The 25866-nt window shown below is 46.4% G+C and overlaps 1 protein-coding gene across 4 annotated transcripts in view, besides 3 other annotated features; it reads right to left on the bottom strand.

The window, feature by feature from the left end:
- The window catches only part of RBFOX1 (RNA binding fox-1 homolog 1), a 2473620-nt gene that overhangs the window by 2240941 nt on the left and 206813 nt on the right, over positions 1 to 25866 (bottom strand). For 3 of the 4 annotated variants that reach the window (NM_001415887.1, NM_001415888.1, XM_017023318.3), the window contains exon 2: positions 5146 to 5184. The exons of the other annotated variant lie outside the window; for it this stretch is intronic. In NM_001415887.1, the coding sequence (NP_001402816.1) occupies positions 5146 to 5184 (39 nt within the window). The remainder of the gene's footprint in view (positions 1 to 5145; positions 5185 to 25866) is intronic. 4 annotated transcript variants of the gene reach the window in all.
- Positions 20826 to 21547: an enhancer, noted in NCBI's record as "OCT4-NANOG-H3K27ac-H3K4me1 hESC enhancer chr16:5500854-5501575 (GRCh37/hg19 assembly coordinates)". NCBI's record gives its function as "activates a minimal SCP1, AML or CMV promoter by ChIP-STARR-seq in primed H9 embryonic stem cells {active_cell/tissue: H9 hESC(primed)}" and the evidence as "EXISTENCE:reporter gene assay evidence [ECO:0000049][PMID:30033119]".
- Positions 21548 to 22270: an enhancer, noted in NCBI's record as "OCT4-NANOG-H3K27ac-H3K4me1 hESC enhancer chr16:5500131-5500853 (GRCh37/hg19 assembly coordinates)". NCBI's record gives its function as "activates a minimal SCP1, AML or CMV promoter by ChIP-STARR-seq in naive H9 embryonic stem cells {active_cell/tissue: H9 hESC(naive)}" and the evidence as "EXISTENCE:reporter gene assay evidence [ECO:0000049][PMID:30033119]".
- Positions 25074 to 25642: an enhancer, noted in NCBI's record as "OCT4-NANOG hESC enhancer chr16:5496759-5497327 (GRCh37/hg19 assembly coordinates)". NCBI's record gives its function as "activates a minimal SCP1, AML or CMV promoter by ChIP-STARR-seq in naive and primed H9 embryonic stem cells {active_cell/tissue: H9 hESC(naive and primed)}" and the evidence as "EXISTENCE:reporter gene assay evidence [ECO:0000049][PMID:30033119]".

Here is a 25866-nt window from a genome sequence, read left to right as displayed (position 1 = left end):
GCTGCAAATGGGTTTAATAATAATCTTTCTTGCAATGGGGGTTGGGGGGACAATGTTGGGAGGATTACACGAGATCACATTTGTAAGGTGCCTGGAACACAGTAGGTGTACAAGCAATGCCAGGCCCTCCTCCCCAGGCTTCCCTATGCCTCGTGGGTGGAAGCTCTGGAGTGAGGAGGAACCGAAACAGAATAAAAAGGAGGGTGCTGCCAACCACAGAGGTTATTATGCTCCCTGGTGATGCTAGAAGGCAGGGAGAGAGCCGTGATAATAAGATTCTCACCCCGTTTTCTGTGTGACGGCAAATAACAGAGACATGAGAAAAGAGCATCCGTCAGAAGTCACAGAGAAGGCAGACAAGGCAAGGAGATCAAAGGAATAAATCCACCGCAATCTGAAAAACAGCCTGCCTGCTTTCATCTGTCGGGGAGGTGACACAAGGACCCACACTCCAGCCAAAAACACACTTTTTTCCACCCATGCTGCATGAAGCGGGGCTGAGGGCATGGCAGCTTCCAAAACACACCCCCTTCAAGGATAATAAATCTTCTCCTTGGTCTAGCCACATCTCGCCAGGACCTTGATCCCCACTCTAGGCTAGACTCTAGAAATATACCGCTGCCAAGGAGATTTATCCATTTAAAAAGGTCAGAGAATTATTGCCACTGAAGCTTGGGCTCAGAGCAGGTGTAAATACTCCCGAGGTCCCACGAGTGCTTTATCACACTCAGGAGTGAGGACCTGGGGGATGTTCTGCCTTGGGGAAGTTCCTTCCCAGGCAGACCATGTAACTGCCCTGGTGCCTGGAGAGACAGAGGGTTCTCCGGGGGTGGGCACCTACATGCCCATGCCACCTTTTATCATTTTCTTCTCCTTCCCACCTGGGAAGGGTCTCATCTTCAGCTTCCTGGGCTGCCAGCAATGGTAGGGACCTGGATCCTCTCTGTTAGTTTCATAGAGCATCTCTCCGAGAGAAAAAGGACACCACTCAACAGATTCCTACCTCAACCCAGTCACTGAAATACTGAAAAGGCAGAAATGCAAGGCCAGTTAAAAAACATCTCAACTGTAGAGACTAGATCACCTGTTTTTCAATACGCTGGTTCCTGAGCCTCTCTTCAAAGAGGAACAGAACGCCATTTCCTCAATAGGAATTCCCATTTTCTCACATCCGACTAAGAACTTTTTAGCATCTAAAGATGCTCTGGGGGCTGTGTGGATCTGGGAAAGCCGAGACTGTAATGAGTTTTTAAAAGTAATCAATCAGACCGGGCACAGTGGCTCACGCCTGCAATCCCAGCACTTTGGGAGACCGAGGCCGGTGGATCACCTGAGGTCAGGAGTTTGAGACCAGCCCCGTCTCTACTAAAAATACAAAAAATTAGCCAGGCGTGGTGGCAGGCACCTGTCATCCCAGCTACTTAGGAGGCTGAGGCAGTAGAATCGCTTGAACCCAGGATGCGGAAGTTGCAGTGAGCTGAGATCGCACCACTGTACTCCAGCCTGGGTGACGAGAGCGAAACTCCGTCTCAGAAATAATAATAATAATAATAATCACTGCACTGGTATGAAAAATGCTGATGCTTTCAGGGAGCCTGGAGAAGCCTCTAGATGCAATGGGAGGGTTCCAGGCTGCAGAGGCGGACAGACCAGGGTTCAAATCCCAGCTCTGCCACTTACAAGCAGTGTGACTGTGGGCAGGTTACCTCAGCTCTCTGGGGTCCTGCACTCCATGGTAGAAAAAGAGAGATGATGAGACCCAGTTGCTCAGATGCTGCATGGATTTAGGCTGATGGGTTATCATATGGCTCACGGGTGACGCCCACTGAATTGTTATTATTCTGTCAAGTTGCCTTTGACAGCCCTGAGATAGAAAGGTAGAGGGAGAGAGATAAATAGAGATTGAGAGAGACAGACAGAGAGAATGTGTGCATGTGTATCTGGGTTAAACAACCTATCAACAAACCAACGCAATCAAATGACCCAGAAACTGCACAGACTTCCCAACGTTTAGAGGTTAAGGGGCTGCAGTGGGAAAAGGGGGTATACCAGGGACCAGGAATAGACACATTTGGTCCCTCTAGGTGAGAAGAGCCTGTCTCCCCTTCCCTCGATCTCCTACCCCCTTCTTTGCCCAAGCCCAGTGCACAGCCTAGAACCATGCTACCCAGGGCTGATGTTCCACATGCAGGACAGCATGGTGGGTGGAAACACGGGTGAAGGCCAGCCTTGCAGGCTTGAGACCTCGGCTCTGTTCCTCACTCTGGGAGCTCTGGGAGAAACCCTGCTGAGTCTGTTTCCCTTTGTTAAAAGATGGTGACAGCCTGGCACCTCCTCAATAAGTTAAACACAGAATTACCATATGGCCCAACAATTCCACTCCTAGGTATATACCCACAAGAACCAAAAACAGGAACTCAGACAAGTACATGGGCACAAATGTTTATGGTGGCACACTCTTTGCAATAGACAAAAGGTAGACACAACCCAAATTTCCACCCCTAGATGAATGGATAATCATGTGGTCTTGCCTTCCAATGGAATATTATTCAGCCATAAAAAGGAGAGAATGCTACGATATGAATAAACCTCAAAAACATTGTGCTGAATGAAAGAAGCCAGATACGGAAGACCACATACTATACAATTCCATTTATATAAAATATCCAAAAGAGGTAAATCCACAGGGGCAGGATGCAGACTAGCAGTTGTCAGGGGCTGGGGATGGAGGAAGGGGGAGTGACTGCTTAATGGTCGCAGGGTCTCCTTTGGGGGTGACAAAAATGCTTTGGAACTACATGAAGGTATGGTGGCACCGCATTGTGAATGCAATAAAACCCACGGAGCTGCTCACTGTAAAACGCCTAACTTCATGTTATATGAATTTCCATTATAAACTGATTAATAAAGAGGGAAACAATGGTGCCATCACTCAGGCAGCGTAGACAGAAGCAATGAATGCACGTGAATAAGGCACCTGGGATAATCCCTGGCATGTTATAAACTGCTCCCCCACCACAACAAACACTTCATTAGATGCTTCCTTGCTCTGTTGGCTTTTAACAGAGCCCACCTCCCAAACACCCAACTAGTCCTGAAATGACTTGTCTACATGGGGGGTGTGCTGGGGAATGAGCACAGGTGCTGGGATGTTACTCCCCACAAAGAAAGAGGACTCTGAGAAGCTCCCAGCAGTGCAAAATGCCTGAAGGCAGCTGCACCTGAGAGAACCCCTCCACCACCTGCTCCATGCTCTCCAAAGCAGCAGAAGAGGAGGCAACAGACAGGCCAGAGCTTGCCCGCTCTAGTACCCACCTCCCAAGAAAACCTCTACTGGTCAGATCCAGCCATCCCCACCAGGTCCTGCAGAAAGCAGAGTGGTTCAGGGTGACCACAGCACGGGCAGACACCTACCAAGAGCAAGGGAAAAGGTATAAATATGTTCTGTTCTCAGTTCCCAGCCCCAGAAGCTAGAATTAAGCTAAGGGACGGGGCGGGAAGCCAAGTGAAGAAGTAGCGACCTCTGTCCTGAGATGGATCCAATCTCCCAGGATCTCACAACTTGTAACTGTGTTTCTGATAAACCAGCCAATGTCAGCACAGAGAGGATCCAGGTCAAGCCAAAGGGAGCTACACAGCATAATGTGTTCAAGATTCATCCAAGTTGTAGAATGGATTTCTGCTTCCTTCCTTTTTATGGCTGTATAATATTCCACTGCATGGATAGACCACATTTTATTTGGACATGTCAGCTATTTCTCCTTTTGGCTTCCATGAATAATGTCACTGTGAAGTCGTGTGTCCATGTGCTTGTTTGAGTACCTGTTCTCAGCAATTTGGGGTATATATGTAGGAGTGAAATTGCTGGGCCATATGGTAATTCTATGTTTAACTTTTGGAGGAACTGCCAAACTGTTTTCTTGGTAAAAGAAGCCAGACACAAAAGGCCACTTACTATATGATTCCACTTATGTGAAAAACTCAGAATAGGTGAGCCCACAGAGACAGAATGCAGACTGGTGTCTGTCAGGGGCTGAAGGGAGAGGAGAACAACAGGGGAGACTGCTTAATGGGTACAGGGCTTTACTTTGGCATGATGAAAATGTTTTGGAAGTACAGAGAGGTAGTGATTGCCCAACACTGTGAAGGTACTAAATACTTCTCAATTGTTCATTTGAAAATGGCTAATATTATGCTATGTGAATTTCACCTCAACACAATTTGTTTAAAAAGGAGCTACTCAAACTCTTCTACCCATAACTGGCAGCCAACAGTAGGAACCTGGGGAAGGGTGGACAGTAAGAGGGGTGGGAGGAGGAACAAGAGGGCACAGAGCATGCCCTAATCACCACTTAAATGACAGCAAGCATAGATTCCGCCTCCCCACAAAGCCTCCTTTGCCACTTAAACCATCCCCAATCCACTCAAGGGCCAGCCATGCAATCCTCTCCAATCCTATTACACAGGAAATTTACATATATAATAAAAAGATGCTATCTTGACACTAATCTTGAGGAAAAACATTCTTACATTTGTATTAATTTTCCTTCTCAGGTTTTAATTGAAGAGTGGATACAACATCGTGGAGGAAATAAAAATCTTACTTCCTCTATCCAAGGGCCATGTGGCTTCATTAGAAATTACATTAGTTCCTTATCAAGCAACAATAATAACGTAGAGTTGAAATCGATTTTAAAAAATGCATTGCCCTAAGGTATAGATCTGTTTGGTTCAATTATATTCTTACATGGCCAAGCTCTGGTACCTCCAGTGCTAATAAAATTGTGGCATAATGCAAGGATGTGGGCTTCACTCACCTTCAAAGTTCAATGATGAAATATAGGCAAGCACCCTCATTGTTCCCAATAAGAAGCTGTTTAACTGCCTGCCTACCCCTCAACCCTGGCAAAAATGACTTCATTTCTGGAGCTCATACATTAAAGATGCTAAGTATGTTTGATCTCATGAGCCTTCCCTGATCAATTAGTAGTGACCTTCTTGCTAAGGGATGAACTGTGCTGTGGTTGATTACAGATGTCTGCCCTGGGCAGTGAAGTTGCAGGGCTGTGACGCAAGATTTTTCTATTGCTTTCATTTCCACTAGACTTCACAGACATCCTAAGTCAGGACAAAATGAGCACTTACCTGACCCTCAACCAGGCTGTATGGCAGGCACAGTAGATCCTGCATTAAAAAAAAAAAAGAGAGAGAGAGAGAGAGAGAGAAGAAACATTGAGTCTACATTGAAACAATTGCTTTGGCTTTGTTTTTCTCTTAGATTTAAAAAAGAATGTTTTATTCATTCATTCTCAAAACGTCCATTAAATGCCTAACATGTGTCAGGCTCTGTTGTAGGCTCTGTTTTTGACAACAAACAAGATGACAAATGGCTGCCATAAGACAGAAGGAAGATGGGGGAGAACATGGTAAATAAGGAAGCTAACCAATAACTATTAATAATAAATGAAGATCAGATCAGAATGATAATTCCTATGATGATAACAAGATGAATTACGGGGTGGAGAGTAACTGGTGTTACTTTAGACTAGGAATCAAGGAGCACTGAGAGTGGAATGACAAGAAGGAGACTTCCATATGGAGGGATGGCAGGTCACACTCCCTGGGGCAGGGACAATGGACAAGCTCTAGGAGGCAGCCTGGAGCAGCCAGAACCATCAAACCGAGTGATGGGAGAGGCAAAGAGATGATGTCAAGGAGGCAGGCAGGGACCAGAGCATATCTAGCCCTACAGGTTGAGATAAAGAGTTCAGGTGTTTTTCTAAGCAATATGGGAAACCACAGGAAGATAGCATTTCTTTCTTAAAACACCCCAGCTCCTGAACTAGGATTCCCAGAGGGCACACACAGAAACCCTAGCTGCCTTGAGGAAGACCTCACTCTGTGAGTACTCTCTGATTTCAGGGCCCCAGGAGTTGAAATACCCCCTCTGCCCCCACCAGGCTCTGAAATCAGCCAAGCACCTCCGTTGGGTCAGGACCCAACTCCTCCCCTCACCAAATGCAGCCCCCATGGAGGAGATCAAACCCCACACATGCTCCCCTTGGTCTCAGAAGGCTGAGTCAGTTGCTTGCACAGGAAGGACCCTGGCTTAGTCAAAATGGCAAGGGCCCACTGCACAGACACTGTATGGAACATGAATCTGAGGGCCAGCCTGCCCCGAGCCCAGCACATCACTCTTCAAGCCAAGAACACCTTCTCTTTCTTTCTCTCTCTGACGCAAGCTTGCGCTTCTGCCGTATTCCAGAATTGAACAAGACGATTTCCCACCTAAAGTGGGAGAAGATACCATAACTCCCTTTTTTCTTGTCAAAACGTCAGACCTTTCAGGGTCCCCATGAACTCCACCAGCACCTCCTCTTCCTGCCCAGCCAAGGAAATTGCCCCAAAACCAACTGGTCCCATCAAGGGCTCCAGACTCAACAAGGTGCCCCTGGGAGCTTACCCACCGCAGCACCGTGGACAGAGACCAGATGCAGCTCTGCTCTGCTGCCCAAGGTCTCAGGCACAACATATCTGGCCATTCTGGAGAAAGCCACATTCAACCCTTGCAGTCCACGGGACTCCACTTGCTGAGTCTCAAATTCCTCAGCCTACTTCATAGGGTGACGATTCAATGAGGCCACGCATGCCTGGTCCATGGAAAAACATCCACTGAAGGCCTGAGTGTTAACAGCTATTATTAGTATGTTTGTTATAGTTCTTAGATGAGCCCATGACCATGAAATTAACAACGAACATGGGCTAGGGTGAGTCAGCTCCATCTCAGCTGCATGAAGAGGAGTCCTGGGGGACATGACTTTGACCTACAGTCACAATTTGAAAACAGGTAATCCACAGAGTAGATGCTGGATACACACCTGGAGAATGAGCTGTTTCTCCCAGCCTTGCTCAAAGGCTGTGTTTTAAGCTGAACTGCACCCCGCCCCACAAAACTCCTGTGTTTGCAACCCCAAATCTAGGACTTCTGAACGTAATTGACTTGCAGACAGGACCTTTAAAGAGGTGATTAAATTAAAATGAGGCTGTTAGACTGGGCCCTGATCCAGTCTGACTTCTGTCTTCATAAGATGATGAAATTTGGACACACAAAGAGGTGTCAGGGATGCAGCAGCAGAGAAGAAAGGCCAGGTGAGGACGCAGCAAGGAGATGGCCACCTACAAGGCAAGGAGAGGGGCCTCAGAAGAAACCAATCCTGCTGACACCTCGATCTTGGACTTCTGGACTCCAGAACTGAGAGAAATAAATTTGCTGTTTAAGCCACTCCATCTGTATTACTTTGTTACGGCAGCCTGAGCAAACACACACACACCCAGGCAGATATGGCTTTTCTCTCCCCTCTGAAAGGTGCAAAGGAGATGGTCTGTGGTTTTCAAGGTCCTCTCCTCCCAGTCTCCAGACCCCTGTGTCAGCTCAGGTGGGTCTCTGCCCTCAAGCTCCTAAAGGAGGTGCCTGCAGACCAGGGTCTGCACACAGGGGCTGAACAGATACAGACCTTCCTCCTGGGCTCCTAGAGCCACACCCTGTGCCTCCCCAGCCCCTCCTCCATCCATCATGCCTCCCCTTCACAATCTCCAAGCCCTCCTTCTCTATTGCCTCCTTTCTTGGGACTCAGAAACGCACCCAAAGCTCACCACATTATCAACTACACAGCTCTGTTTTCTTTGCTTCTTGCCATCCACCCTCCACAGCTGGGCTGAATGCTGGAGACATGATGGGGCACAAACAGAGGAGGCCTCTCGTGGCGCCCTACAGTCTGGGGAGGAGAACACTGTACTGAGAGAGCTGCAAAAAAATCCACATAAAGCTACAGCTCTGAAGGAGAAGGAGATGATGCAAGGACCCTTGGTCCCCTGTCATCTACTCCTCAGTGCCTGGGTTCCCTGCCCACCCAGAGAGCTTAGTCCACAACTAGAATGCTCTCCAGTGACTCTCCCTTCTTCAAGCTCTGTCGTGTCCCCTCTCTGACATCTTTTCCTAAGGCGTTTCCTCCTTTCTCTATGCCTATCCTAGGAATGCAAACAACCCGTAGGGTCTGCCCTTTGCCCTCCAAGAGAATCATTCACCATGGCATCTGGACCCCAATGTCTACCCCACTGGGGACCCCTGACTGTGCAGTTCTAGTCCCAACTGCTCTCCTGAGCACCAGACTCAACGGACCATCCTCTTGGCCTCTCCACATGGGTGTCCCACAGACATTATCAACTCCACACAGCCCAAGCCCAGCTCTCCTCTCTCCCCAGCTGTGCCTCCTTCCCCTCCTGGCACCCAGAAGGCATCCCCGTTCTCCCAGCCCATTGAGCCTGAAGCCCTGGCACCTCCTGATTCCCTCCTCCTGCTGGTCCATCACGGGGCTATTGATCCATTGCAGCTGTGCACAGCATGATTCTCCCAGGCCTGGTTATGGCAGTGAGAGGCTCTTCAAAGGCTGCTGGACACCTCTCTTTGTTCTGCTGAACACAATTTGGCTGAAAGCAAATTTGTTCAAAATAGACCTCCCACAGTGGTTGCATTTCTGGGTGTTGTAATCTTGCTGTTGCCATGAAGTGGATTTTTTTTTATTATTTCTTTTTTTTTTTTTTCGAGACAGTCTCACTCTGTCACCCAGGCTGGAGTGCAGTGGTGCAATCTTGACTTACTGCAACCTCCATCTCCTGGGTTCAAGCGATTCTCCTGCCTCAGCCTCCCGAGTAGCTGGGATTACAGTTGTGTGTCAGCACGTCTGGCTAATTTTTGTATTTTTAGTGGACACAGGGTTTCACCACGTTGGCCAGACTGATCTCAAACTCCTGACCTCAGGTGATCCGCCTGCCTCGGCCTCCCAAAATGCTGGAATTACAGACACGACCCACCACGCCCGGCCACCATGAACTGGTTTAAAACACTTTTATGCATCTTTAAGCACTTGGATCCATTTATTTCTCTGTATTATTTTCATTTTATTTTTTCATTTAGAAACTCAAAATCTAGTATTGCTAAGCTCAATGGTAACTAACAGCAGACAGAGGAGAATAAAGAGATCAGCTTCATAGAACAGTCACTTGAAAAGCAACGCACTTCATGCCACTGAGCTGCCCTGCAAAAATCCATTTTCAGTATGTGTGATCCCAGAAAAGTAAGGTGTCAGTTGGATTTATAAAAAACAAAATCCGTATTATGTTACCAACCAATCCTCTTTGAATTATAAAGGAAGAGAAAACTCCCTACTACTCTCCAAACTCAACCCTGGAAGTACAACCAGGGATGCAAGGTTGACGTGTATTCTTCTAACCATTTTCCTAAAAATGCAAAAATATATCTATCTATCATCTATGTATATATACATACACAAAAATACTTTCATTTTTTAAAAATGGACCAAGGATTAGATGTTGATCTGCTCACTTTCTTTTTATAAATGTATCAATTTAGTATGAACACCTTTCCCAGACAAATCATGGATAACTGGGTTTCTTAACTTCAGCAACATTGAAAATTCAGGCCAGATTATTCTTTGTCGTGGGGCTCGTCCCATGCCTGTAGGACCTTTAGCAGTGCCCCTGGCCTTTACCCACCGAATGCCACTCTTACATCGCCTCCTCCAATTATAACAACCAAAAAGGACTCCAGAAGAGGCCAAATGTCCCCAGGGGACCACAGTCCAGAGCCCTTAGTGTGGAGACACCAATTCCTTCTTTCCTAACAGGTGCGTAGAATTCCATGCCATGGATGCATCATAATGTATTTATTTCCCTACTGATCAGCATCCAAAATTCCTAAAAATACCACATTTTTAGGAATTTGGTAGTTCAAAACTATCACAATGTACAAAGTAAAGGGCCACTTTATACTCTGGTAAAACTTGAGTTATTGTGTATCCTGCTTCTTTAAAACACACAGGTGTTCCATGTGCATTAGAAACTCACTGGGTTTCGGCCGGGCGCGGTGGCTCACGCCTGTAATCCCAGCACTTTGGGAGGCCGAGGCGGGTGGATCACGAGGTCAGGAGATCAAGACCAGCCTGGCCAACACGGTGAAACCCCGTCTCTACTAAAAATACAAAAAATTAGCCGGGCGTGGTGGCGGGCCCCTGTAGTCCCAGCTACTCGGGAGGCTGAGGCAGGAGAATGGCGTGAACCCGGGAGGCGGAGCTTGCAGTGAGCCGAGATAGTGCCGCTGCACTCCAGCCTGGGTGACAGAGCGAGACTCCATCTCAAAAAAAAAAAAAAAAAAGAAAGAAAGAAAGAAACTCGCTGGGTTTCTTTTATGCTTGCTCATGGGATGTAGGCAAGCACAGCGTTCCACCTTTTGTTGAAAAGAGACGGGTAATCTTTAGTGCCAGTGATGGTGTGAGGAGCTGGCACCCTCCTACACCACTGGTGGGAGTGGAAATTGGTGCCACCTTTCTGGTGGGCAACCAGGCAAAATAGATCAAGAGCCATCTGCCCTGTCTAGCTATATATTTTTTGTTCAGTAGAACTGGGTAGATAGCTACCCCTTGTCCCTTCTCTTTAGACTCTATGAGCTCAGTGAAGCTGGATGGCTCTCAAAGATAAATGCCTGGCCCTTCTCAGAAAGACAATTAATGAGCTCAGAGACTGCTTAAACTGAGATGAAATGTGAGATTAACAGACACAGGGCCATCCATCCACCCTGCCAGCAGGCTATCTCCTCCTCACTACACTGTTTCATTAGGTTCTGCCAAGGAAACCCACCAAATGCACCGTGGCCACCAGGTCTATTTTTGAGATAATTACAAGGCTCGGGCTTGAATCCACTTAAAGGCAGAAATATGGGACAGGCAAGGATTAAGGCAGACTCTGCCCCTTTTTCCTCAGCTGAAAATGTCCCAATAGGCTTTAAAGGGAAGAAAAAACTGCATGAAACTTTCATCAGAGCCTGGTTGGTTGCAGCTGCAGGGCCCAAAGTTTTAGTTCTGAACAGTGCCCAGCACAATAATTAGGTGCCTGCCCTCCCTGCCAGCCTGCTGGTTTCCTCAGCCACCCCCTCGCCTCTCCAAGTCTAGAAATGAGTGCCTCCAGGGGAAAGGAGGCGTGGGAAACGCTAGGAGAGGCAGAGGCGGCAGAGTGCGGGGCAGATCATCGAGCCTCTAATTGCACTCTTGAATTAATAAACCAGTGAACTCTGCACAAGTTCAGATGTTACCACTCTATGCACCACTATTAGAGATGCAGCCATTCTCTGCTGGTCTAACCTTGCAAACAGCAAGACCACGACGGGGTTCAGTCACCTTGGGAGCTGGCTTTCTGTTTTCCTCTCCAGTCTGCAATCTCATAGAAGGCACACCAAGAATGCAAAACTGCAGGAGCCCCTTGGAAATGACGGGACCCCCACCCCAGTAGAGAAAATGAGACAGGAAGTATTTCTGCAGACATTCCTTTCCTTGTCATCCGTTTCATGAGCAGAATTTCAACCTTGACATCTGAGCACATCCCTTCACCACCCACCCCCCTTCCTGATGACAAGTGACAATATGTGTAATCGCTACTACGCGATGCCAAAACAGTGCCAGCCAGGTGATGTGCTCCGCTCCTGCAATGGGATTAGGACTCAGATTTATCTCTGTGCTTTTCCTTTGTGCCTTCCTCGAATGTGAATCTTCATCACTCAGAGGCATCTTCCTCGCCTAAGGGAAGATTAGGATTACTTTAGCAGGCATGAAAAGAGGAGGAAACAGCAGTCAGCCCTTTTGATATCTAAAGGAAGCTGCAGAACAAATGCCTACAGAACATTCCTCACCCTTCACTGGAAAGCATGTTGCTGTGACAAGGAGCACTGTCAGCCGAGCCCTCACCATCATCTGGGAAGAGTCCTTTACAACCATCAGCTGCCCAAGGACTGTGGGTAGCACAGAAGTGTTTCTCCTGGGCCCTGAGCCTCTGCAGGACCCCAACAAAACTTATCTATGTGATGTGCCCCTCTTTTCAATGGTGCCCTCTCCTTATTCAAAGGAAACTTACAAGTCCCTTAAAATATGAGGGAGGTGCAGTGGTGTAGATGGGATAATGGTAAACTCCATCCCATTATACAAGAATTAAAACGTTTAGTCCTTATGATAAGACCACAAGATTATTACTATTCCTGCTTCAACAATCATGAAAACAGAGAAGTAAAGGTCTGAGGGTTGCAAAAGTCAGTGGGCTGGGATTCAAACCTTCTCTGTCTGATTCTGGTTCCAAGACCCCTCTTGTCCACTGAGTCTCTCATATACCTGAGGTTCTCATTTGGCATTGTGCCGACTTTACACTAAAAACATGCCGACTTTACACTAAAAACATGCCGACTTTACACTCCTAGCTCCTTACCTGTCTCCCCATCCAGAGACTCATCATTGACTTTTAGGAAACAGAATCAGACAAAACAGGAAAACTAAACATGCAAGTGTAGGAAGGAGGCCATGGAATGTCTTTGCAGCTGAGAATAAATCAAGCTTTGTCATAAAGAACTCGGAGTGGCGACACGGAGAGGCAGTGAAGATTAAGGTGTTGTTGGAAGGGATGAAGAGAAGGAGAGAGACTCGAGAAATATTTTGGAGCTGTTAATCTCACATTTCATCTCAGTGTAAGCAGTCTCTGAGCTCAGAATCAAGAGGACTTGCTGGTAGGTCATGGTGTGAATGTATGCAGGTGCGTGTGTGAGCGTGTGTGTGCGTGCATGTGTGTATGTGTGCTGTGAGTCGGGGAGGAAGGGTTAAGATCATGACCTCTCATTTCCCGACTTGCTTTTTTGGTGAAGGACGATTCTTATTAATAAACTGAAAAAGATTTGTGGGGGAAGGAAAAATTGGGGGATCGTGAGAAAGTGTTGCACAGACATGAGACAAGTGGACATGCGGCATTTGAGATGGCCTTGAGACATCCATTTAGAGTGGTCAGGCGGTTGGTCACGTGAGCCTGGGATTCAGAGAGGAGGTCTAAACGGAAGCATGGATCTGGGGACCTGAGAGCCTTTCCAGGTGGTTTAGCAAAGTGCTAAGGGTCTTCTCTCTGTGTCAAAATCCACCTGGGGTCCCACAAAACCCACCACACTGCATGGGATGCAGTCAAGCCTGAAGACCCATCTGAATAGGCGAGCTGGAGCTATATCTGCCATGCAGATGGGATGAGGAGCAGCTGATCTGAGATTAGGATGAGGCCCTAAGCACAGAGGACAAGGGTCATATCTGGTTTACATGCCAATGCATGTCCACATGTGGAGATCATATGTCATTACTGCCTAGAATGTGGGAACTCCATCGCCAAGAAAAGGGGAGGTTCACCAGAGACTCTGAGAGTCACCAAGAGGCCAGGGCATGGTGAGCAACAAGGAAGCAGAGATCTCCCTTAAGGGAGCATCTGCCCTGGCTCTTCAGAGATATGGGATATGGAACATCACATGGGCCAAGAGTGGTACAGAGATGGAAGCATCTTGATGGAGGAGAAAAGAGCCTGGAAGAGTTGAAGCCAGGTGCTCTTGGCTTCTGCCACAAGACTATGAGATCCATTAGCAGAGGGATCATATCTACCTTGTTCTCTACTATATCCCCAGAGTTGGCCATTCCTGGTACCCATCAGGAACTCAGTAAGAACCAATACTGTGGAAGGGTGAATGGATGGACGGATGGATGCATGAAGGCAGAGATGAATAGGTTTAAGTTTTGTTATATTCTCCTGTTGTTAGGAATACAGATAGCCAAAACTTAAAATTCCTTAAAACCCAGTTGCCTATTTGGATTCATGGCAACCTGAAAGCACTTCCTTCAAGAGCAGTAGAGGGTCATAGTTAAGAATGTGGCTGGGATGGCCCAGTCTAGGCTGTGAGGCCTTGCCTAACCTTTGAGGCTCAGTTTTCACCTATGTAAGGCAAAATAATAACTGTACCTGATTCATTTATCTCTAATGAGAATTAAATGAGATAATCCATGTAAATTGCACAGCACAATACATTATATAGCTTCCCACTTCTTCTCATTTCTTCTCATTCCTCAAACATCAACTCTCGCTGTGCTATGGTGCCCTCCCGGCTACACCACCCATCCACAGACCCTCAACCCCCTTCCTCCCCACCGTTTTTTTTCTTATTCCCATGAGCTCTAATAAATCATTGATTCATCGATGACATAGAAAATGACTACATGCAGCACATGCTGGGCTGACAGTGCTAAAGCCATCATAATCCAACTCCAAAGCAAAGAGTATCCAGCACTTAATTTTTAAAATGTAATATATATTTAATGCAACATTAATATTTAATTCACTTAATGCAATATTTAATTTGATATCCATTGCAAATAGAAATAGTAAAGAGATTAATGATTTACACAAATGATCTCCTATTCTGTTCTTAAAGCATTTTTTTCTGCCCAGAAGACAATTTTCTACCCCCAAGACAGCAAAGAGGGGAGGCTATTCAAGTTGGTTCTTGTAAGTGGGTCAGAGTTCTCATCTTGTGAGTGGGCTTGGCCAAGAAATGGCAGTCATGGCTTTCGTTTATTCATATAGTTAAGGAGGGCATGTTATGTGTAGGGCACAAGGCTAAAATCTGCTGGGAAGAAAGAAGGAACCCTACTCTCACAGAGCTCATGGTTCAGTGGAAAGAAAGACAAAATTCTGCAACAATTAAAATAAGTACCAGGAAGTGAGTCCACACAGATAGTCACACTGGGCCCCAGCAGGGCACCTAACCCAGTTACAGGGGTGGGTGCATTGTCCTGGAAGGCTTCTTGGAGAAAGCAGTATCTGCACTAAGACAACTTAAGAAAGAGGAGAAAGAGTGCTCCATGCAGACGAAAGAGTTAACTCAAAGGCTGCTATGGAACTGAATGCCTGTGTGGCCCCAAAATTCCTCAGATGGAGCCCTAATCCTCAATGTGATGCTCTTCAGAGGTGGGTCCAATGGGAGGTGATCAGCTCATGAAAGTGGAACTCTAATGAATGGGATTAGTGCTCTTATAAAAAGAGATAGATGGGCTGGGTGCAGGGGCTCACACTTGTAATCCCAGCACTTTGACAGGCCGAGGCAGATGGATCACCTGAGGTCAGAAGTTCGAGACCAGCCTGGCCAACATGGTGAAACCCCATCTCTACTAAAAATATAAAAATTATCCAGGTATAGCGGTGCATGCCTATAGTCCCAGTTACTTGGGAGGCTGAGGCAGGAGGATCTTGAACCCGGGAGGTAGAGGTTGCAGTGAGCCAAGATCATGTCACTGCACTCCAGTCTGGGTGGCAGAACAAGACTCTGTCTCAAAAAATAAATAAATAAAGGGACAGATGATCTCTCTCCCCACCATGTGAGGACACAGTGAGAAGACAGCCATCCACAAACCAGGAAGCGAGTCCTCCCCTGGAACCAAACCGGCCGGCACCTCAATCTTGGAATTCCCAGCCTTTAGAACTGTGTGAAATAAATTTCTATTGTTTAAGCCACTTCACCCATATTTGTTATAGCAGCCCAAACGGACTAAGATAAAGGCCTAGAGGTGGAATGTGCTAGAGACAAGAAAGGTTTAAAATGGCTGGAGAAGAGAAGTGGGGAGTGGCTTGAGGCAAGGCGGGGTCTCAGGAGCCATGTGAAAGGGGTTAGGTGTTATTCCAAGGGGGATGAGATTCAAGCATTGGAATTACATGACCAGGGCTGCCCTTCACAGGGGCCATCCTAGTTGGAAGAAAGTTCCCCAGCTAACAGCTATTAAAGAAATCAAGAGAAGAGAGGTATCCAAGGAAATGGGAAGAAAATGGGCAGATTCAAGAAATATTTCATACACTGACTTGACAGGTCTTGGTGACTGTGTGTGGCAGGTGAGAAAAAGGAACAAAGCAAGGATGATGTGTAGGTCTTTAAAATGAACAAGTGGGTGGGCATATTAAATAAGTGGTATCAATCAGAAACATCATTGCTATCATGACTATCATCATCATCACCATAGAACCATCACTGACCCTCAGGGACTACCAAGAATGATTCTATTTCCACAACCCAACCTTTCAAATCCGTTCCCCGAAAAGAAGGTAACCCATGGGAGGTGGAAAACATGATGACAGACAAGGCGAGTTTCACTTTTTTTCTCCCTACATGAGTCAAAAAACCCAACACAACCTTGAAATAAATATCCAACATTTGAGGATTGGTTAAATGAAGTATAGCACGTTCATATCATTGAATATTATGCAAGCTGTTGAAATGACATTTCAACATTTTGTCTAGTGGCATGGAGAAATGGGCTTAAGGTATTGTAAGTTTTTTGACTATAGATAGCATAACCTCATGTTAAGCACGTTTTTTTTTTAAAAAAATGATATATGCCATAATATTATCATTAGTTGTCTTTATTTCTTCTTGTGTATTTTACTCCATTTTCCAATTTTTTTCACATTGCACACATATTACTTTCATATTCTTAACATTATGAAACTCAACAAAAATCATGAGATTTAATTTATTTAGAACAATGCCTGATAAAAACACTGGAAGCCTTAGGTTAATGCTCTGAATTGCCACCCCAACGTGAAGGATATAGTCAAAGGCTAATTTTAATGTTCCAACACCAATCACCTTTATTTCAAGAATTTATTTCTCGAAACCAGGGTTCTCTAGCCAAGCACCCTTCACCCTGCATTTCACTTCTTGGTCAGTATTGTGTCCATGCTGCCATCTTTCTATTAGGAGAATGGGCAAAGAGAATGAAAGTGACCGCTAAAGGGCTGCCTGTCTATGTTGCTGAAAATCATATGCATGGAGAGTAAAAAGGGAAATAATGGGTCTGCGTGAGAGAAGGGAATCCAGATGAGTAAAATATCATAGAAACCTAAGGGAGAAAAAAGGCATACTGAAAATGTATGTGGTTACCTTAGGTAAGAATGAAAGAAAGAATCTCAAATATTCTCCAAGGCCTCCTTGGGGTGGTTTTGAAAACAAGACCCTAAATGATTTGATACCCCTCCTATCAAGAGGTGGAGTGATATACCTTCCTTTGAATCTGGGAGGGCTCAGGACTGCTTCAACCAGCAGAGTATGGCATAAGTGATACTAGGCGGCTTCTGAAGCCATATCATAAAAAGCCATATATCTGTCTTGGTCTCTTGGGAAATTCACTCTCTGGGCACTCCCTCTTGGAAACATGCCACTGTGTTATGGGGAGCTCAAGTTATACAGAAAGGCCATGTGAAGGCACTCTGGTCAGTAACCCCAGCTGGGCCTAGTCTTCAAGTCATTTCAGATGAGGCCCAAGACATGTGGAGTAGAGTCAAGTCATTCTGATTGTGGCCTGTTATATCAGTCAAGGTACTTTAGAGAGAAAGAACCAACAGGAAAGCGAAGAGAGACATAGGGAGAGAAAGAGACAGAGAAAGAAAGAAAGAGAGACAGACAGAGAGAGAGAAAGAAAGAAAGAAAGAAAGAAAGAAAGAAAGAAAGAAAGAAAGAAAGAAAGAAAGAAAGAAAGGAAGGAAGGAAGGAAGGAAGGAAGGAAGGAAGAAAGAAACAAAGGAAAGAAAGAAAGAAAGAAAGAAAGAAAGAAAGAAAGAAAGAAAGAAAGAAAGAAAGAAAAGAAAGAAAGAAAGGAAAGAAAGCAAGGAAAGAAAGGAAAGGAAAGGGAAAGAAAGAAAGAAAGAGAAAGAAAGAAAGAAAGAAAGAGAAAGAAAGAAAAGAAAAGAAAAAGAAAGAAAGAAAGAGAGAGATTTTAAGGAACTGGTTTACCTAATAATTATGGAGGCTGCAAAATCCTAAATCTGCAAGGTGGATAACCAAATAGAGACCCAGGTAGAGTAGATGCCATAGTTCAAGTCCAAGGGCCACCTACTGCAGAATTCCCTCTTGCTCAAAGGAGGTCAATCTTTTCTTCTATTCAGGCCTTCAACTGATTGGATACAGCCCACCCACATTGTAGAGGGCAATTTACTTTACTCACCACCTACCAATTTCAATATTAATGCCTTAGATAAAAACACCCTCACAGAATAACATGTAACCACATATCTAGGCACTGTGGTCCAACCAAGTTGATAAACATTAATAAAATTAACCTTCACACCTGCTCAAACTTCTGACCCACAGACTCTAAGAGTTTAATCAGATAGTTGTTTTATGCCTCTAAGTTTAGGGTGGTTTGCTACACAGCAATGCAACACTGGAATATCTCTTGATAGACACTATTCCCTCCAGAGGGAAGTGTGAAGGACTTCGGCCAGAGATCTCTGTACCTAGGAGGCTGGAAGTGCCTGTTCTCTCAGTGAGAAACTGCATTTCACCTTGAGTCAACAAGAACGAGGAATAAAATCCAAACTTCAAATAAAACCCAAACTCCTCATACAGGCTGGCACGATTTGGCCTCAGCCACCTCTCTGGCCTCATCTTCTATGACTCTCCTTTTCCCTCCCTCTCTTTAGTCACCCTTCCTGGAACACACCAACCTCTTTCAATTTCTTTTGCCTAGAATGTTCCTCCCCCATCTTTTTCATACTTGGGAACTAAGCTTAAGTACTCCCTTCACCAACCACCCCAACAAAATCTCCCAGCAGGCAAAGAAATAACAAAACCCTTTCTCCTTCTGCATGAGAACTTACCCTTCGGCTAACTTCCTAGCACTGTCACCCTCGTACGTAAGTAGTCAGGATATCAATTATATTTTTAGGCAACATTGCTTAGAGTAAAGCTGATCTCTAACTGGTGTTTTGCACCTGGTCTGGGAAGAAGTACAAATGAATGATAAGTACCTGATGAGGTGCTGTGCTTTGGATGCCATTACTCATAATGGGATGCTACTTGCAGGGATTCTAAGAGCTCTGCCTATGGTGTATTAAGAGGATATATTGACTCCTATGATGCATGTAGCTTCTGAGCCAAGGCAGAACAACACCTGACCCATGTGGGGTCATTTCCTTACACCAGAGCATGAATTGTTGATGAAGAGGGGTGCCTAGTGCTGCCCTAGTGCTGGGATAGGTGTCCTATCCTCTATCCTTCTACAGTATGTGATGCTAAGAGTGTGCCATGGTATTCTTATGAATCTAAATGTTTAGTTGAATCTAAGATCTTTAATGCACTTCCCTACTCCCATCAATCTCTCTCATATCACCCTGCATTTTCTTCCTGGAACCCTTCACACTTAGTTATTGGTTGTCTGTATATTAACAGTCTGTTCCCTAGACTGTGACCTTGAGGAGGTCAAGGACCATGTCTGTTTCCTCACTATAAACTCAGCTCTTAGTCTAGTGCTGGGACACAGTAGGAGCTTGATAAATATGGATAGATGGAGTGAGAAAAAGGAGGAAGGTAGGGATAGACTGACTGACTGATCAATCGACTGAAAAGATTAGAGGAGGGAATTGCTAGAAAGTTGCAAGGGACAAAGTAAGAGAGGTAAACAGAGTCCCAATAGCAGGAGGATATACTGAAATGCCCAGGAGCAGTGAATCACCCTAAGGGCCTTGAAGACATGCTGAAACATTTCAAGTAAAAAAGTCAAGGTTTCGCAGAGCGTGGTGGTTCACACCTGTAATCCCAGCACTTTGGGAAGCCGAGCAGGTGGATCACAAGATCAGGAACTCGAGGCCAGCCTGAGCAAACCCCGTCCCTACTAAAAATACAAAAATTAGCCAGGTGTGGTGGTGCACGCCTGTAATCCAAGCTATTCAGGAGGCTGAGGCGGGAGAATGGCTTGAACCTAGGAGGCGGAGGTTGCAGTGAGCCAGGACCACGCCATTGCACTCCAGCCTGGGTGACAGAGTGAGACTCTGTCTCAAAAAAAAAAAAGTCAAGGTTTATGGTTTACTTTTCAGAAAGGTCACTGGGTAGCAGTGTGGATGAGGGACAGGTAAGGCAGGGCAGGTGAAAGGCAGAGGAACAAATGGGAATTGTTGAAATGGGTGCTAACAGTCCTGGCGAAAGGCAGTGGGAATGAAAGGAGAAAGCAGTCTCAAGAAATGTTTAAGAAGTGAAATCTGTAGTATCCAGTGACAATCAGATGTGAGAGGCAGAATAGAGGGATGAATCAGCCCGGGTGTAGTAACTCACCCCTGTAACCCCAGCACTTTGGGAGGTCGAGGCGGGTGGATCACTTGAGGCCAGGAGTTTGAAACCAGCAGAGAAAACCTTATCTCTGCTAAAAATACAAAAATTAGCTGGGCGTGGTGGTGCATGCCTGTAATCCCAGCTACTTGGGAAGCTGAGGTGGGAGGATCGTTTGAACCCGAGAAGCAGAGGTTGCAGTGAGCTGAGATCGTGCCACTGCACTCCAGCCTAGGCGACAGAGCAAGACTCTGTCTCAAAAAAAAAAAAAAAAAAAAGAGAGAGAGAGAGAGATAAATCAGAATCAGGAATTAAGACTTGGGGGCTTGGGCCCATGGGGATGGCATTAACCTAGGAGAGGAACCCAGAAGAGGCAATGGGTTTGGGGGTGGAGGGAGATGGTGAATTTGATCTTCAATTTGATGGTGAATTTTATTTTGATCCCCAGAGAGACAGCCATACAGCTGGAGCTCAGGGAGAAGCCCAGAGGTAGGGAAGGTAGGTATCAGAACACATCGTGGGCAGCTGGGAGTTGTAGGCATGACTAAGCCCACCCAGAGAGTATGCAAAGTAAAACTTGAAAGGGCTGGAGAGAAAGCTCAGGTAGCCTGGTACACGAAAAAAGAGCGGAATGAATGAGCTGAGAGGTATCCGTATGTGGAACCCGGACAGGATAAGAGACACTGCCTATCATTAAAACCAGGGACGATGTCTCTCTCCTTCCTTTGAAGCCTCATGACATTGTACGTAGACTTCTACTGAAGAATCTATTTCTTTCTTAAATAATAGTCATTTCTGTTTCTATCTGCTCTTTCTAAAGTACAAGAAGCACCTTCCCGACAAGTGGAGTTCCTTCCATCTTTGAGTCCTCTGAAGTTCCTGCACCTAGTAGGCCCTCAATAACCTCCCCCATCAAATCATTCAAAGGCAGGGTTGGGGTACTAATTAGTTTTCAATGCAGACTAATTGCTTTTTTAAATTCTCATATAAATCTGACTTTTAATAGGTTCTGAGAATCGATGTTTCATTATTTTTCGCCACAGTGGAGATTATCCCTGTTGATGGGTCATTACAAATCATCGCTCTCTGAGAGGTCTCCTTTCTATCTCTCATTTCCTGATCCTTCAGCAGGATATCTTTGTTCTTCAGAGTGAAGTGGGGGTGGAATTAAATGGGTCTTAGAAATTAACAACTGGAACCAATCAGAGCAGAGGAAGAAGAGCTCTGGTTCTCTCACATCAGACAGACTCCATATTGTTCAACAGTAATAAACAGGAGGCTGTGGTTCAGGGACTCAATCCGTTGGATATTTTGAGTGTATATCTGCCATTCCTCGAGTGCCCACTCTGTACCAGGCACTGGCCAACCAGGTTACATGTGACCTAATTTAATCATCACAGTCATGCTGACAGATATGGCCCGTGATCAGCCCCATTTTCCAGATGAGAACACTGAGGCTCGGACAAGCTTACCCTTGAGCTTGCCCAGGTCACAGAGCTATTGAGCTGCACAGGACTGCCCCAAAGCCTGGACATGTTACCCCAAACTGGGCTCCTGTGTGCATCTGGTGCACACTTCTAGCTCTGAATCCCTGCGGTCCCAGACGAGGCTACCCAAAGTCACAAGGGGGCCTGCAGCAACTCCTGCCCAAAGTCCCACTCCCAGCAAGGCATCAGAGCCGAATTCCAGCACGGAGCGGTGGTGGTGGCAAGTTTCCTCCCTGACTCTGACCTCAGAGAACAATCCTTTCTCCTTTCCTTGGCACTGAGATCCCCCTGTGGAGCCATTTGCATAAATCCAAGCAAAACAGTACACTCCAGAGAACAAAGAAAGAAAGGGATGTGCTCAACCTCTCCTAGCAGCGCCAACGCCTTTTGATGCCAGAGAGGCCCGCCCCACACGCAGCTCCCCTGGTTGTACCGCAGCAGGGTTCGAGCATGAGAGAACCATTAGAAGGGGCCCTCCACACTGGCTCAAATTCCCTGTGGTCTGCATGTGCCCAGGCCAAAGAAATCCATGAGTAATAAGCCTGCAGCCAATCGATCACTCTTCTTCCTGGAACCCTTCATAAATCTCAGGGGCTGTTTATGTAAGCAGGACCCAGAGCCTCAGACTTGCCCCCTTGTTACCTCATTTGCATTTTTCTTCAAGGTGGAATGTGTCAGGAGGGAGACAGAATTGAAGGTGCAATGCCACAGGCTGGAAATTCACAAGGATCGGGCTCAAATCCTGCCTGTGAGAGAGACTTTGGGCATGCCACCTCTCCTGCCCAACCCTTTCTTATTTGCACAATGAGGTGAATTACATAGTTCCTGCTTTCTCAGATCCAAGTGGTCAATGCATGCAGGGCACTTACCCCAGTACCTTGCAAATAGATCTCAGCAAATGATAGGTGCTATTATTATTATCTTTACACCACTAAATGCATGTAGAAAGCTCTGCATAGCTTCAGTAAATTAGAAGGGGATATGTACAAAGCTAGAGGTGGGCTGGGTGCAGTGGCTCAGCCCTGTAATCCAAGACCTTTGGGAGGCTGAGGTGGGACGATCACTTGAATCCGGGAGTTTGAGACCAGACTGGGCAACATAGTGAGACTCTGTCTCTACAAAAAATAAAAAATTAGCCAGGCATGGTGGCATACATCTGTGTTTCCATCTACTCGGGGGGCTGAGGTGGGAGGATCACTTGAGCCCAGGAGTTTGCGGTTGCAGTGAGCTGTGATTGTGCCACTGTTCTCATCCTGGGCAACCGAGAGAAACCCTGTCTCAAAAAACAAAGCTAGAGGTGAAACATGTAGTTCTATATTTCCAAGTCAATATTAGACTGCACAGAAAGCATGGGGCCAGATAGATGTGGGTTCAAATCCTGACTGTGACCCTTTAGATCTTGGGCAACTTAGTTAACCTCTCCAAACCTTGTAGTGTTTAGGGTCTGATATGAGGCAATGGCAATCAAAGAATCATGACAATATACATAAACAGAAACTGAGGTTTGTGCTACTGTGAAGGAAAGAAGCACAATTCTGAGAATGCACAATAACAAAGCAACCTGAAGAGATGAGGGGCAGCCGTGGCGGAGACTTCTCTGAGGAGGCTCAGATAAGTAGGCGTCATTAGGGAAAGCAGGGCAGGGGAAGCATTTCAGGAAGAGGAAAGGCCAATTACAGAGCAACTAAGCTGCACAGGACTGCAGGGCTCTGATGCCTTGTCGGGAGTGGGGCTTTGGGCAGGGGATGCTCCAGGCCCCCTTGTGACTTTTGGGTAGCCTCGTCTGGGACCCCAGGGATTCAGAGCTAGAAGTGTGCACCAGATGCACACAGGATCCCAGTTTGGGGTAACGTGTCCAGTCTTTGGGGCAGTCCCGTGCAGCTCAATACCTCTGTGACCTGGCCACGTGCAAAGGCCCTGTGGTGGGAAGGAGGACGGTGGGGTTATGGCAGCCAGGGGGTCTGCAGTAGAGAGTGGGAGGAGACACGTATTCCAAGCTGAAGAGGCAGGTAGCAGGCGGATCATGCCAGCTTTAGGAATAAAAATGTCTTCGAGGACAGAGATCTTTATCTGCTTTCCTCCTAAATGTATCCCAGATGCCTAGAGCAATGCTGGGCACCGAATTTGTGCTCAAAAAACTATCTGCTGCACTTACAAAACGTGTGCTCAGCTAATTTATTACCAGCAAGTTAGTCATTTAGGGGTGGGTGTATCTCACATTGAGCTCTGCTACACGGTAGCCAACGCCAAAGGGAGGGTCCAGGATCCTTGGTTTTCAACAGCTATGAAACGCTGCAGCCCCAGAGTACCCACTCAGTGCAGTTCCATGGGGTCTTCACCCCAGTCTCCTGCCTGCACAGAGGAGACCCAGAAAACACAGTGTGTCTGGCTTGGAAAGTGAGAAGATTTCTTTGTAAGGTAATTTTCAGGGAAATGCTCTGTTTAACAGCCCACATAGGAGAGATAGTTATTTCCCAGCTGTTCATTATATTTCAATGAACAGCCCTATTTTGTGGCATAATGTCCCAAACATACCTTATTCCAGTTTTTTTGCCTCTGGAACACAGACGGTGTTTCCTTTCTCTCTTTGACCCAGCTGGGAGGTAAGTTTGAGGAACAGTTTAGAGTCGAAAGCTTTGACAACCCCATACGTGGGTCTAGTGAAGGTGAAAACATGCAGCGTCCAGGTCTAATTTTACCATCCCTCACAGTTGAAGATGCGGAGGCTTAGCTCTCAGAATTTCCAAAAATTAGGCTGCCCCTATTGACAACCAGATGACCCCTCAATTTAAGAACAGGATGTCAAAAGACATATCCAGCCAATTGTCTAAGAACTGACCTCGATTCACTTCCCATGATAGCCTGTTCCCCCATGTGACTCCACCCCCAGATTCAATTAATTAAACAGGAAGTGAGAGCTGACCCAGAACGACCCACTCCATTGGCTGATCAACAACCAATCACAGTCACTCTACACAGAATGAGTGGGAAAAGGCCAGAGCAGCATGGAGGCCACCTGAAATGAAAAGTGTCACAGGAAACAGGGGTGGTGGCCACTTTCGGCCATGGGTATCCATGCCATGCCAAGCACAGAAGAGGCTGAGCAGTGGGCAAAGCCAGTTCACTGCCATCTGCAGAGAAAAGTGGGAGGATAACATCACGTGCTGAGAGAAGCTGATGAGAGGCCACACAGTCTAGAAAGAGAGAATGGCAGCCGGGCACGGTGGCTCATGCCAGTAATCCCAGCACTCTGGGAGGCTGAGGCGGGCAGATCACAAGGTCAGGAGTTTGACATCAGCCTGGCCAACATGGTGAAATCTCGTCTCTATTAAAAATACAAAAATTAGGGGGGCGTGGTGGCGGGTGCCTGTAATCCCAGCTATTCGGGAGGCTGAGGCAGGAGAACCACTTGAATTCAGTTGCAGTGAAGTGAAGGCTGCAGTGAGCTGAAAGCATGCCACTGCACTCCAGCATGGGTGAAACAGCAAGACTGCGTCGAGAGAGAGAGAGAGAGAGAGAGAGAGAGAGATTGATTGATTGATTGACATTGAATGATGAGAGACAGGGAATGGCTCAGAGAAGGTAAGTAATAGGTTTAAAGTCACACAGCTTATACGGTGCAGAGCCAGGATTTGACCTCATGCCTAACTCCAGGCTCTGAGTTCTTATAATCACACACACTGCCTTCACCAAGAAGGTGGCAGGACAATACTCCTTTGAGGGGAAGGTTATTGTAGGTGGGGAGGGGGTGGCTGCGAAGTGAAAAGAGAAACTACTGGACGCAGAGACCAGCCAAGGGGCTCATGCGGTAGTCACAGCATTACCTCTTTTGTTGATCGTGATGGTTTGTTTGCTTAGAGATTAGCATCTATTGGGTGCTTCTACATACCAGGAAATGTGCTGGTATGGATTCAGATCACTTATCCCATTGACTCCTCACAAGATGACTGTGTGGGAGTTGTTAGTAATCCATGTTGCAGATGAGGAAACGGAGCCTCAGGGAGAAAAGACCACTTCCTAGGGAAGCTGGGATGTCAGCCTACATCTTTGTGGTACCCAAGACCACATGCCACCTAATACACAGTGCCCTCTGCCACGTGGAGCCCAGCTGTGAGAACTAGACTGTCATCTTGGCGGTGGGGATGGACAGGAGGAGGGACTTGAAGAACTTAGTCTAAGCTACCAAGTCACTCTGCTTGGAGTACTGCAATACTTCCTACAGGGTCTTCTGGAATCACAGCGATCCCCTCTCACACCCCCATCTACCTGCCAGAGAAATCCACAGGGGTCTTCAGAGTACAAATCGGATCAAGCCACCCTCCTGTTAAAGCCCACCAGAAGAAAAACAGGAGGAGGAGGAAGAGGACAGGGTGT

This window comes from Homo sapiens, chromosome 16, assembly GCF_000001405.40.
Source record: "Homo sapiens chromosome 16, GRCh38.p14 Primary Assembly".
Taxonomy (NCBI): domain Eukaryota; kingdom Metazoa; phylum Chordata; class Mammalia; order Primates; family Hominidae; genus Homo; species Homo sapiens.
Note: the sequence above shows the minus strand (reverse complement) of the source record. Positions and strands in the feature narration are given on the sequence as shown.